This window comes from Homo sapiens, chromosome X, assembly GCF_000001405.40.
Source record: "Homo sapiens chromosome X, GRCh38.p14 Primary Assembly".
NCBI classification, from domain to species: Eukaryota; Metazoa; Chordata; class Mammalia; order Primates; family Hominidae; genus Homo; species Homo sapiens.
In genome coordinates, this window is record NC_000023.11 from 2,957,570 (window position 1) to 2,971,134 (window position 13,565).

The 13,565-nt window shown below is 44.4% G+C and overlaps 1 protein-coding gene across 10 annotated transcripts in view, besides 4 other annotated features; it reads right to left on the bottom strand.

The window, feature by feature from the left end:
- ARSL (arylsulfatase L) overlaps positions 1 to 10,676 on the bottom strand; it is a 33,725-nt gene extending 23,049 nt beyond the window's left edge. For 2 of the 10 annotated variants that reach the window (XM_047442110.1, NM_001369079.1), the window contains exons 1-3: positions 10,580 to 10,676; positions 2,809 to 2,851; positions 705 to 866 (exon numbers count right to left, since the gene is read on the bottom strand). In XM_047442110.1, coding sequence (XP_047298066.1) covers positions 705 to 866; positions 2,809 to 2,851; positions 10,580 to 10,586 — 212 coding nt within the window. In that variant the 5' untranslated portion in view covers positions 10,587 to 10,676. Of the gene's footprint in view, positions 1 to 704; positions 867 to 2,033; positions 2,320 to 2,808; positions 2,900 to 6,654; positions 6,773 to 10,579 lie in introns of those variants that run through there. The other 8 variants (XM_011545521.2, NM_000047.3, NM_001282628.2 and 5 more) reach the window with 7 other exon arrangements.
- Positions 2,957 to 3,780: an enhancer, noted in NCBI's record as "NANOG-H3K27ac-H3K4me1 hESC enhancer chrX:2878567-2879390 (GRCh37/hg19 assembly coordinates)". NCBI's record gives its function as "activates a minimal SCP1, AML or CMV promoter by ChIP-STARR-seq in naive and primed H9 embryonic stem cells {active_cell/tissue: H9 hESC(naive and primed)}" and the evidence as "EXISTENCE:reporter gene assay evidence [ECO:0000049][PMID:30033119]".
- Positions 3,781 to 4,606: an enhancer, noted in NCBI's record as "OCT4-NANOG-H3K27ac-H3K4me1 hESC enhancer chrX:2879391-2880216 (GRCh37/hg19 assembly coordinates)". NCBI's record gives its function as "activates a minimal SCP1, AML or CMV promoter by ChIP-STARR-seq in naive and primed H9 embryonic stem cells {active_cell/tissue: H9 hESC(naive and primed)}" and the evidence as "EXISTENCE:reporter gene assay evidence [ECO:0000049][PMID:30033119]".
- Positions 6,257 to 7,080: an enhancer, noted in NCBI's record as "H3K27ac hESC enhancer chrX:2881867-2882690 (GRCh37/hg19 assembly coordinates)". NCBI's record gives its function as "activates a minimal SCP1, AML or CMV promoter by ChIP-STARR-seq in naive H9 embryonic stem cells {active_cell/tissue: H9 hESC(naive)}" and the evidence as "EXISTENCE:reporter gene assay evidence [ECO:0000049][PMID:30033119]".
- Positions 8,411 to 8,470: an enhancer, noted in NCBI's record as "active region_29373". NCBI's record gives its function as "activates an Ori minimal core promoter by ATAC-STARR-seq in GM12878 lymphoblastoid cells {active_cell/tissue: GM12878}" and the evidence as "EXISTENCE:reporter gene assay evidence [ECO:0000049][PMID:35858748]".

Sequence of the window (13,565 nt, forward strand, 5' to 3'; positions counted from 1 at the left end):
ATGGTGGCGGGCGCCTGTAATCCCAGCTACTCTGGAGAGTAAGGCAGGAGAATCACTGGAATCGCAGAGGCGGAGGTTGCAGTGAGCCGAGATCGCACCACTGCACTCCAGCCTGGGCAACACAGTGAGATTCTGTCTCAAAAAAAAAAAAAAAAAGAAAAGAAATGAGGCCAGGTATGGTGGTTTACATCTGCAATACCAGCACTTTGGGAGGCTGAGGTGTGTGGATCACTTGAGCCCAGAAGTTCGAGACGAGGCTGGGCAACACGGCAAAACCCCACCTCTACAAGAAACTTACAAATTACCCAAGCATGATGGTGGGCACCTGCAGTCCCAGAATTACTCGGGAGGCTGAGGCAGGAGGATCACTTGAACCTGGGAGGTCAAGGCTGCAGTGAGCTGTGATTGTACCAGTGCAGTCCAGCCTGGACCACAGAGCAAGACTTTGTCTCAGAGAAAAATAAAAAATAAAAATAAATAAATAAAAATAAAAATGAAATGAGCAGTCATATGTAGGATGGATTGAGGTGAGGTTAGTGCTGGCATGGGAAGAAAGTAACATTAGGGAGAGTTAGAAAACGCAGAAGTGCAGAACTCTTGAAGTGTGAACTGCCAAGATCAAGGGTTATATGCATTTTCAGTGGCTTCTCTTTCTTCTGGTGTCTGCATTGGGGGCACCAGGTGAGTAATTCTCTGTCCCTTGCCTCATGGTGTTGTTGCCATAGCAGCCAATGTCCCCAATGCCAAGGTCGTCCGCCATCAGAAGAAGGATGTTCGGTCGGGAGGCGGAAATGTCGCTGGAAGCTGATGGTGCCAAACTTAGCAGTACAGCGAGCATCGCTGGCAGCCAGCTCCTGAAACACAAACTGTCAGAGACTGCGTCATGCTCCTGTCCATCTCATTTGCAGAACTTGTGTATGGGGGAAGTTGGCATCACTATTTTAAGAGGTATTGATATTATCATCACATTTCAGAATAGCTTTGAGGACATCTCTTAGGCATTTGATTGTTTTTCTCTGGTTACAATTAACTGATACCGTTGATGGCTTTATTTGGCCTTGAAGTTTTTTGGGTTTTTTTTGATGCTGTAAAGTCTGTTGTTAAGTGATTAAACTCATGATTAACAGAAAGCCTTGGTGGGGTGCAGTGGCTCTCTCCTGTAATCTCAGTATTTTGTGAGGCTGCAGCGGGTGGATTGCTTTACCACAGGAGTTCAAGACCAGCCTGCGCAACATGGTGAAAACTCATCTCTACAAGAAATACACAGCTTAGCTGGGCGTGGTGGCACGTGCCTGTAGTCCCAACTCCTGGGAAGGCTGAGGTGGGAGGATCGCTTGAGCCTGGGAGGTTGAGGCTGCAGCGAGCTGAGATCGCACCACTGCAGGGCAACAGAGCAAGGCTGTCTCAAAACTACAACAGCAACAAGAAAAAGCAAAAACAGCCAGAAAGCCTGCCTTAGTCATGGTTTCTTGGATGGATCGGGTCCCCAGAACAGCTATTGCCCCTTCTCCATTCCCTCTTCTTCATTGTTCTTCCTTAAGCAAACTGTGTTGAACATAGGGAATGGAGGCTGGGGTTAGGGTTTGGACCACCCAGCAGAGCAAGGAAGAGACACAAGCTTGGGGCAAGGTGAGAACACAGTGAGCTGCTACTTCTGAGTCTATGAAAACCCTCTGTTCATTGTAGCACACAGATGAAAATACCCAGGACTGACTTCTTTAGCCCACTGGTATCTGATGAGAAGTGGGTTTGGAGGTGAAGGAGGTTCCAGCCTGGAGGAGAAAGCCCTGGTAGTTGCGTACCATGAGGGAACATTTCCGCAGGGGTTGGTGACATACAGCCTGCCACTATCATTGCTGCCTCTTTCATCGATGCCACCCTGGGAATGCACATGGACAGCAGGGCCATAGTGTCCCAATCCCCAGTGGGATGCAGTAAAGATGTAATCTGAGTCTCCAAGGTTTGTAGTAGGGGAAACCCTGATTTTCCCTGGAAAACCAGACACCTGGCCGATGGTAGCGGTTGATGCCCACCTGATTTGCAGAGAATGAAATACAATTCCTTCTGAGGCTGCCTGGGGCAACATCAAATCAAGGGAGCCTGGAGCACATCTATTAATCACGGGTCTCATGCTTCATTCTCCAGATGCAGGATAAATCACTATCAGTGCATTCTGAGAAAGCACCATCAAGAGATCCAGAAGCGGTCAGGCGTGGTGGCTCATGCCCATTATCTGAGCACGTTGGGAGGCCAAGGTGGGAGCATTGCCTGAGCCCAGGTGTTTAAGACCAGCTTGAGCAACATGGTGAGACCCTGTCTCTATATAAGAAAGGAAAAAAAATAAAGAAGGGAAGGAAGGAAGAAAGAGAGAGAGAAAGAAAGAAAGAAAGAAAGAAAGAGAAAGAAAGAAAGAAAAGAGGCCGGGCGCGGTGGCTCACGCCTGTAATCCCAGCACTTTGGGAGGCCGAGGCGGGCGGATCACGAGGTCAGGAGATCGAGACCATCCTGGCTAACACGGTGAAACCCCGTCTCTACTAAAAATACAAAAAATTAGCCGGGCGTGGTGGCAGGCGCCTGTAGTCCCAGCTACTCGGGAGGCTGAGGCAGGAGAATGGTGTGAACCCGGGAGGCGGAGCTTGCAGTGAGCCGAGATCGCGCCACTGCACTCCAGCCTGGGCGACAGAGTGAGACTCCGTCTCAAAAAAAAAAAAAAAAAAAAAAAAAAGAAGAGAAAGAAGGGAAGGAAGGAAGAGAAAGAAAGAAAGAAAGAAAGGAGACTACTAATGAGTGCATATAATTGTATCTTACCAAGAATGGTGCAGATGTAACATGTTGTCTCTCTCTCTACTTCCTGTAAGACATAAAGATGTCCACAATCACATTGACAGCAGAAATTGACCTGATTATAAATAAAACAGTAAGTAAGTAATTAGGGGAACTTTGATTCCCGTTCATGATATCAATAGCAAAAATATCTTAAAACAATGATCAAAATCTATAAAGGAATGCTCTTCCCGAGTGAAAAGGCTTCAAAAATGTTTAATACTATGTTAAGAATGTAAAACGTGTTTCAATACACAGCCAGATGGTCTTCAGAGAAAGAGGAAGAAAGTGGTCATAGGGTCTCCATCCCCTTTATCAGCTTTCATAGCCCATGAGTGATCACAAAGTGATGAGAGAATCCCAGTGTCCGGAAGCAGATTATTTTGTCTTCTGCTTCCCGAGCCCAGGGCAGGGGTGATTCCTAATGTCCAGAAATGCAGAGAGAGAGTCCTGATTTGGAAGGGGGAAGCGGGGAAAGATCAAAGCTTGGATGATACACAAAAGAATCTGAGTAGAGGGTATGAAGATCAGAAATACAATGAGAGGCTGCGCGTGGTGGCTCATGCCTGGAATCCCAGCACTTTGGGAGGCGGAAGTGGGAGGATTTGCTTGAGCCCAGGAGGTCCAGACTTGAAAACAGAACTGGGAGTGTCAGTGTGAAGGAAAAAGGCCTAGAGGACTCTGCAGGCACTGAGTGCTGCATGAAGGAGAGACGCATTCGCCTTCATTGCTAGGGGTAGGTGCTGCCGGGAGAGGGGGCGACCATTGCCCACACTTGGAAATGTTCTGTCCACAGAGGGAAACGGGCGACCCCCAAAGCACAGAGGGGCGGCCCCTCAGTCTCGCCGAGAAGTGAGGGAGAGCCCAGGGTGTAGAGCAGGAAAGGAATGAGATGGAAGATAACAATTAGAGTTGCAGGCAGCAAGAGGTCACCTTCAGGGTACTGCAGTGGTCTGACCCCATGTGGCTTGTGCATGGGACTGAGGACGAAGCTCTGATTTTTCTTTTTATCTTGCCCAAATTCCTATCTAAGGGGTCTGGAGAGTCATGCCCTACAAACCAAAAATTCTCATCAGAAGGGTTTCATTTAACTATATATTGTGACTTACTTTCCAATCTGACTCTGGCATAACATGAGACCAATAAGAAAATCAAAATATTTTACCCAAAAACATGTTTCTTTGCCATATCTTGAAATGGCCCTGCAAAGCTGTCCTTTGTGGGGAAAAATTTGCATCTGTAAAGATGTAAAGAATCTCTATTCACATAGATATTCACATCTTTTTCTACCGGACCCTTCCAATCCTGAAAAGATTGACTAAGACTCTAGCACCTTTTAAAAGTCTGAATAGGAAACAATTGTCATCTATTGTCTCTAAGGGCAGCCGCTACAAGACTTCAAAATAACCTTGGTCTCCACAATCTTTTCTCTTAACCTGAAGATTTCTTTTCTAGGGATCCCAGGGTTTTTTTTTTTTTTTTTTAATCTTTCTTTTTTATTTTTTTGAGACGGAGTCTTGCTCTGTTGCCCAGGCTGGAGTGCAATGGCGCGATCTTGGCTCACTGCAAGCTCCGCCTCCCGGGTTCAAGTGATTCTCCTGCCTCAGCCTCCTAGGATCCCAGGTCTTTAGATGAACTCAACCAATTGTCAACCAGGAAATGTTTAAATCTATGTATAAGCTGGAAGCCCCCTGACTTTGAGTTGTTCCACCTTTCTGGACCAAACCAATGTGTATCTTAAATGTATTTGATTGACACCTCATGCCTCCCTAAAATGTATAAAACAAGCTGCACCCTGACCACCTTGGGCACACGTTCTTGGGTCCTCCTGAGGGCTGTGTCATGGGCCATGGTCACTCTTATTTGGCTCAGAATAAATCTCTTCAAATATTCTACAGAGTTCGCTTCTTTTCGTTGACAGGACATGGGCATGCATAGAAGATAAAGAGACAGGAGCATGCAGATGTGTTGGGTTTCTGCCTCTGAGTAACCAGGGGAGTGACCTGGCCACTTTTAGAAGGGCCGAGCGGCCAGTGAGTGAGGACACACTGGAGCCAGCAGGCACTGAGAGCCTAGAAGTGGCCGTGGTGTCTGTCCAGGTGAAACCTGACCAAGGATAGACACAGCTGGTGTGGGAGCGGGGAGGGCAGAGAGGAGGGGTGGGCAAGGTCCGCAGGGCTGCGAAACCCCAGGGTGTGAGTGGGAGAGAAGCGATTGGTTGAGGGATTTCCCCTCAACGCCTTTTCGGGGATGCTGGGAGGGGTGTTTGCTCCTAGCAGGATTCAGGCACAAAACCAGTCTTCTGAGAAAGACAATGAGCTTTGTGAAAGGAAAATAAATCTCAAGGCCCGCAAGTCAATAAGCTAAAGGGAAAAGTCAAGCGGGGAACTGCTTAGGGCCTCTGCCTCCCATTCTAGTCAAAGTCCCCCCTTTGCTCACTGAGATAGATGCGTATCTGATTGCCTCCTTTGGAAAGGCTCATCAGAAACTCAAAAGAAGGCAACTGTTCCTCTCTCACCTATCTGTGACCTGGAAGCCCCCTCCCTGCTTACAGTCTTCCTGCCTTTGCTTCAAGTTTTCCGGCCTTTCCAGACCGAATCAATGCACTTCTTACATTATTGATGGATGTCTAACACTGAATTGCTACATCTCCAATAATTTTCTGTCTGTCGAAGAGAAAAAGACCTTAGATATCATTTGTGCTTTGTTTAGAACACAGAAGGAAGGGATAAGGTGTACGCCGTGCTCGTGAGGTTTTTTTGTTTATTTGTTCGTTTGTTTTACCCTAGAGAGCACACACAATTCTCATATTCTAAAAGTAATAGCAAAAGACGCAATTACGTTTCACCAACCTAATAGCATCTTCACCGGGAAAGAGATTGATTTAAAATTGTACATGGAGAGAAAACCAAAATGAGCATTTTAATACCCTCAGCATTGCTTTCTGACCTACAATGACATGCTGCCAATGGTCAGAAAACGGAATAAAAGCAAAATACTGTACAAATGTAATGAGAAAACCCCAAACCACCACAAACTAGGGGAAGATGGTTTTTGCAGCAATCCTGCCCAGCAGTGGTTTATCTCTGGGTGTGGAGATTTAGGAAAAGTGCTCTTTTTCTAATTTTTCTTTTCTTTTCCTTTTTTTTTTTTTTTTTTTTTTTTTGAGATAGGGTCTGGCTGTTTCACCCAGGCTGGAGAGCAATGGTGCGACCATAGTTCACTGCAGCCTCAAATTCTTGGGCTCAAGCGATCCTCCTACCTCAGCCTCCCAAGTAGCTGAAACTACAGGCACATGCCACTATGCCTGGCTATTGATTTTTTTTTTTTTAAGTAGAGGTGGGGTTTCCTCTTTTGCTCAGGCTGGTCTCAAACTCCTGGGCTCAAGCAATCCACCCGCCTCGACCTCCCAAAGTGCTGGGATTACAGACGTGAGCCACCGTGCCCGACCTAATTTTTCTTTCTCCCGCAATGTTATGTATTTATAAGTAAAAATATGAATATTTTTTCTTGGAGAAAAACGTTAAATAAATAAAGAGATGGTGATAACAGCCTTGAATGAGTTTAATTTTGGAAACTGTGACATTGAGGTGACCCAGAGCATGGGGCCTGCCCAAGGCCTCTCCTGCAGATTAGAAAACAGATCCCCCTTCTCCAGGAAAGAGCTGCATTCCTAGGCCTGTAAGTCACGGGTACGTTTCTGCTTTATCAAAACAAACTGGGCAATTATTCAGAGACAGAAAAGGGAACGGGGAGCTCTTTGTTCACCACGCTATTCATGCCTGGTCACGGAGCCCAAATCCAGCACAAATGAACATTCACAGGACTCACCTCTGCTCCTGGGCTCCTTCCTGAATCCCCGATCAAGAAGAGGAAGGTTCTCTCCCAAAGGAAGCAAGCGTGAAGGCAGAGAGCACTTGCACAAGGCTTTGAGCTGGGAATGATTAACTTCGAGTTTGTTTTTCCCAAGTCAGAAGATCAGAGAGAGTTAGGACAGACAGAGCAGACTCCCCCCACATCGCAGCATGGGGGAATCTCAAAGCCACGCCCACGTCTACCAAACCAGTGGTCAGTTTCCTTAGGTTTTTATTTTGTTTTATTTTTTGTAGAGACGGGGTTTTGCCATGTGGCCTAGGCTGGTCTCAAAGTCCTGAGCTCCAGTGATCTGCCCTCCTTGGCCTCCCGAAGTGCTGGGATTACAGATGTGAGTCACCGTATTCTGCCAGTGTCCTTAGGTTTTTAAGTGATTGCCTGTGCTGTTACACAGGGTGCTGGCTATAATATGATCATATCCAACCTGGCATGGTGGCTCATGCCTGTAATCCCAGCGCTTTGGGAGGACGAGGCAGGAAGATTGCTTGAGGCCAGGAGTTTCAGAGCAGCCTGGGCAGCAAAGTGAGATGCTGTCTCTTCAAAAATAAAAAATATTAGGCTGGGCAGTGTGGCTTATGCCCATAATCCTAGCACTTGGGGAGGTTGAGGCAGGAAGATCGCTTGAGCCCAGGACTTCGAGACCAGCCCGGGCATCATAGCAAGACCCTGTCTCTATAAATAATAAAACAATTAGCCAGGCATGGTGGCATGTGTCTCTACTGCCAGCTACTCAGGAGGCTGAGGTGGAAAGATTGTTTGAGCCTGGGAGGTTGAAGCTGCAGTTTCACTCCAGCCTGAGTGACAGAGCAAGACCCTGCCTCAAAAAAAAATGTTTTAAAGAAGTTATTTGTTGAGTGGTAAATGAAGTAAATAAGAAATAATAAAGATAAGATAAAAATAAAAAAGAAAACATTTCTTAAAGTAAATAAACAAACAAACAAAAGAAGTAAAAAGGCCAGGCGCAGTGGCTCATGCCTGTAATTCCAGCACTTTGGGAGGACGAGGTGGGCCGATCACTTGAACCCAAGAGCTCGAGACTAGCCTGGCCAACATGGTGAAACCCTGTCTCTGCTAAAAATAGAAAAATTAGCCAGGCATGGTGTCACATGCCTGTAATCCCAGCTACTCGGGAGGCTGAGGCAAGAAAATTGCTTGAACCCCGGAGTCGGAGGTTACAGTGAGGCAAGATCGCAGCATTGTACTCCAGCCTCAGCAACGGAGAGAGACTCTGTCTCAAAAATTATAGTAATAATAATAATAAACATAAGATAAAAAGAAAAAAAATAAGCAAAAAAAAAAGTAAAAAAAGGATTATTTTCAAGCAATGCTTGGTTTAAAAACATAGAAAAGACGGGCTGGGCACGGTGGCTCACGCCTGTAATCCCAGCGCTTTGGGAGGCTGAGGTGGGCTGATCACCTGAGGTCAGGTGTTTGAGACTAGCCTGGCCAACATGGCAAAACCCCGTCTGTACTAAAAATACAAAAATTAGCTGGATGTGGTGGCGTGCACCTGTAATCCCAGCTACTTGGGAGGCTGAGATAGGAGAATCGCTTGAACCCGGGAGACGGAGCTTGCAGTGAGCCGAGACTGTGCCGCTGCACTCCAGCCTGGGCGGCAGAGTGAGACTCCGTCTCAAAAAAGAAAAGACAAGACAAGACCAAGAGGGCAGGAAGCAGTTTCTGAGGCACTGCATGATCATTGCTGGGAAGTTACTCTGTAGAATGGAACCCTACGCAATGGTCCCTATTATTCAACCATCCTTGACCTACAAGGACGGGGTTTCATAGAGTTCCACCTGCTGTCTCTTCGCAACTTCATATGCAGCCACATGCTGGGTCTGTGAGAAGTCACATAGCCTACCTGATCTCACTTCCTCCTTATGTGGGGGTGGAAACCACCCTACTTCTGGGATGAGGAGCTGACACGCTGGCACACTCCAGCCTGACTCATTTTTACAAGTGGACGGTTTTGGTGGCATGTCTCAAAACGAGTATTAGGAGGGGTGTCAGAAATGTTTTCTTTTCCTGCCACAGGTGTGTGCCCTAATGGTAATTGCTTTCACTTTGTGATTTTTGGCAACAAATCTTAAGTCATTTCCTCGTAGGGGGCCTAAAGGAATATTTTCACCTATATTTTAATTTATATATTCATAATTATTATATATAATATAGTATAACTTTTGTACATCATACATAGTATAAATGTATCACATAAAATATGTAAATAAGGCTGGGTGTGGTGGCTCACGCCTATAATCCCAGCACTTAGGGAGGCCGAGGTGGGAGGATTGCTTGAGCCCAGGAGTTCAAGTTAAGTCTGAGCAACAAAGTGAGAGCCTATCTCTAGAAAAAAAAAACAAAACAATAAAATATATAAATATAATATATAAATATATAATAAAGCATAATTTTTCTTTATTAAAATATGCATGCTTTTCTTTACAAAAATAATATATACTTTAAAATATATATGTACATATATGTATAGATACATAAAACATGTACATATACGTACACATCTACATATAAATACATGTTATAATATGCACGTATAAATATAAACATATAACATATAAACATGTACCTATAGACATCTACATACATGTTTATGTGTTCATATATGTATGCTTATATGTATATAATGTATACATGTACATGCATGTATATATACATACATATATGTATACATAACATATATACCTATAAAACATGTACGTATATACATGTAACGTTAATATATGTACTTTTTAAAGTAAAAATGTTTATGTGTGTATGTATAGTACATATATACATATAAAACAAGTACATATATGCATATAACATATATATGTACATGATTTTTCAAGGAAAAAGCATATTATGGGCTGCTTCTGACTTGCCTGGGGAACATGACTGGTTGTGTTTGTTTTATCGGGCTGGTTATATTGGTGTCTAAATATAGGACCCTCAAACATGTTTGAACAGTCATATGACGTACGGTTAGATATCAAGTCTGTGGCCTACCTCTGAACTGATGTATTTATGTATTTAGTGACACAATAAAAGCAGATTTTTCTTTTCCAAAGAACTCTGCACTTTAACCCTTGGAATGTTAAACATTTTGGTCCAGATTTAATTTTTACTACTGAATAAAACTTTCTACTTTTTTATTCTAAAGACACAAGGTATCTTTAGAAAGAGACAAGAGGCTGGGCGCGGTGGCTCACACTTGTAATCCCAGCTGGCACACTCTGGCCTTTGGGAGGCCGAGATGGGAAGATCACTTGAGGCCAGGAGTTTGAGACCAGCCTGGACAACACGGCAAGATCCTGTCTGAATTTAAAATAAAACAAAATAATAAAATATAGAATACAGTAAAATATAATACAATGCAATAGAAATAAAGATAAAAGAAGCAGACGAGGAAACACCCATGCAAGACTGACAATATAGCCTTTGATTCTCTTCCGGGGAGAAGGAATCCCAGCCCTCCTTTCCCGCCCTGAGCTTCAGCCCCGGGCTGCGAGCCTGTGTTCAACGCTTCGCCTGGGCCCTGTTCCCAAACCCAGTTTCGCTTTTCACCTCCGGTGTCTCTTCGATGTTCAGTGCACGTGCCTTCAGCATCTCTAAGATAAGAATCTAGTGTGGATGCAATGTCTCCCATTTGGTGCATCTTCCCTCGTTGCTTTTTTTTTACGCATTACGTTTGGAAATCTCCCATGTAAAATCTGTACTTGAGATTTTCACTGATGATTATTATTATTTTTTGAAAGCAAATTACTTTTAAAACATTGACAGGGACTTGTTTGAAAAGACGCAGTTTAGCATAAAAGAATATCCCCTGGAGCGTCTCTGCACGTGCAAAAGCCGGCCTGTAAGAAGAAGCCCCAGGAAGGCCAGTTACCTGACATGCAGCTGTGTAAGGGCGACACTGGCTGGATGTAGCGGGGAGGCTGCTCCTTGGAAGAAACGTCTTCTTCCTGCCAAAACAGACACGCACTGGCTGTCTCGGCGGCACTGAACGGCTGGCTCACGCATGTGCGTAGCTGATTCACTCTGAAAAGCAAAAACAGGAATTCCGCAGAAACCAAGTTAGGTTGTCCCAGAAACAGATCAGGCAAGTCCCCAAGGAATGTACTGCTGGGTCTTTCAGGCGTCCACAAAAGACCTTCTGTTCTATTTGCAGAACCTCACTCTCGCGGAAGGAGCCCAGACATCTGGTGCTGAACGCGGGGTTTTTCAATGGCAGGAAGGTGGAATCCCTTCGGGCTTTTGATGTAGGCAGAGTGCATTTCCCAAAGTGGAAAAGTGGTTTTCTTAAAACTCATCTTGAATCATCACTCCGTAGCCCTTCAATTTCACGCCTTTTTCTTTCCTTTTGCTATTTGCCTCAAACATAAAAAGAAGACAGGAAACAATTCAGGTTACAGTTGCAACTATGACTGTGTGTACACAGCCGCAACTATTACCATATGTATATAGCTGCTCACCTATGTGACTCTGTCACTATCACTTCCGTTTAGCTCTGTGCACCAATGTGTTTTCTCATCTATTTGCCAGGGAGCGCATTTCTTTTTTCATATTGAAGCAGAGCATACATTGCAGGCAACGTTAGGTGTAAAACGAATCACTTCAAGGACTTTTTTTTTTTTTCAAATAAGAGCTGTCTGCACACTTCTACGTGTTGAATCACAAAAATATTCATCCTAATGCATTTATAGTCTCTATAGCCTGAACATTGCAGAGTTTTGATTTGAGACTCCCGCTTGCCAAATAAGCCCTCTTATAAATCTGCAGCTGCCTACATTCTTCATGAGTTTAACACATCAGAAAGAACAAAGCATAGGCTCGACGGGCTGAGGAACACCTACCGCTCTAGGCCAAGTCTACTAGGTTATGTTGCTCTTGAGGGAAGGCTGTCAACACTCATGCAGTTATTTTTTGCACAAGTTGAACATCAAGGAGATAAAACCGGGATCCAAATTGGAACTCCCAGGTTGGCTGAACTTCAGCCTGACTTTCTATGTTCTGGGATGAGGCATGGTTACGCCACTACCCTACTATTGACCTCTGAGGAGGATGATTCTTTATTGTAGGGGCCGTCCTGTACATTGTACAATGTTGAAAAGAATCCCTGGGCTCCACTCCCTAGAAGCAGGTAGTGATCACCACCTCCTCCCCAGTTGTGACAACCGGAAATATCTCCAGCCGTGGCACAATGTCTCCCGGGGGGGCAGAATCACTCCGGTTGAAAACACTGGTGTTAAGGACGTACTTTGCAGGTGACTGGAGAACACTTAATTACGATCATGCTGGGTGAGCCATTTCAATTTGTTTCTCATACTCCCACGTCCTTCAGAGCTGGTAGCAGAATCAAGCTCCACACCTGAAACTCTTAGCACGAACGTTATACAACAGTACTTGTCAGCTGCATTTCCAATACTAGCATCCCAAAAGAGATACTCTCTTAGCATCAAGTAAAGTCATTTACTCTTTTTTTGTTTTTTGTTTTTTTTTTGAGACAGGGGTTCGCTCTGTTACCCAGACTGCAGTGCAGTGGCACAATCACTGTCACTGCAGCCTCGACCTCCTGACTCAAATGATCCTCCCACCTCAGCCCCCTGAATAGCTGGGACCACAAGCACACGCCACCACAGGTGGATCGCTTTTTTTTTTTTTGTAAAAATGGGGTCTTGCTATGTTGCCCCCTCTAATCGCTAACTCCTGGCCTCAAGCAATCCTCCTGCTTCAGCCTCCCAGAATGCTGGGATTACAGGTATGAGCCACTGTGCCCATCCTAACAATACATATTCTTTAGCAAAGTTCAGATCCCCACCGTCATCCTAACCTTGTCTTCTGCACGGAGCTTTCGTCTCTGAACAAGGCGGACGTTCGCTTTCCCTTGACTCCAAGTTGAACTACGAACTAAAGTGGTCTCATTGTCATCTTGGGCACCATATGCTAGAAGAAGCAAGACAAATACAAGACAACAACAACAACAAGAACAACAACAATGTAGCCTGTGAGGTTAGAAGCAACATGGAATCAGTCATGTTCGATTTCTCTCATTATTTATAATTCTGTAAAGGTGGTTTCATCCATCTTTCCCAAACAACCACTTCATATTCCACTCTAGCTGGAATTTATTTATCCTGGGCTATGGTTTAAAGTGTCACTGTAAAGGGTGACATAAGGAGCCACTCCTTTTGGGCAGAATTCCTTCTCTACCTCAAATTCCTTCTCTACCTGGCCACCATTTTCCATATTCCTTGCACAGGTAATACTTGAAAATATTCAGACATAACTTAACATTTTCATATGGGTTGCATACAAGAAGACAATCTGGAAATCCATGTTTCTAAACTAGTTGCTTCAGCTTTGACATTATGAAGAAAAAGAAACGCCCATGGGGGTAAAATGGATGGTTTGTCCACATGAGAAAATGTCTTATATACGGTGATGTATTTTTAAGAAAATCTATGAAAAGCTATTTTTATCTCAACTATCATCATCTACTTTGAACAGAACCTGACTTAACAAAAAGTTAGGTGGGTGCAGTGGCTCGTGCCTGTAATCCCAGAACTTTGGGAGGCTGATGTGAGAAGATTGCTTGAGCCTAGGAGTTCGAAACCAGCCTTGGAACATAGTGAGACCTGGTCTCTAATAATTTTTTTTTTTAATAAAAATGTTGCTGTTACTATTGTGTCTCATAAGTATCAAATCTTTTCTAATCTCTTTGGACTCCTAATCCCTCACCCATTCTGAAGATGTGCATGTCAGCATGCATCTAATTTTAAATAGCAAAACATTTCTTATGTTGCACTTATATTGCATGTCATAAATCAAGAGAAGTCGGTGAAGAGCTACAAAAATACCATTGGATAGAAGGG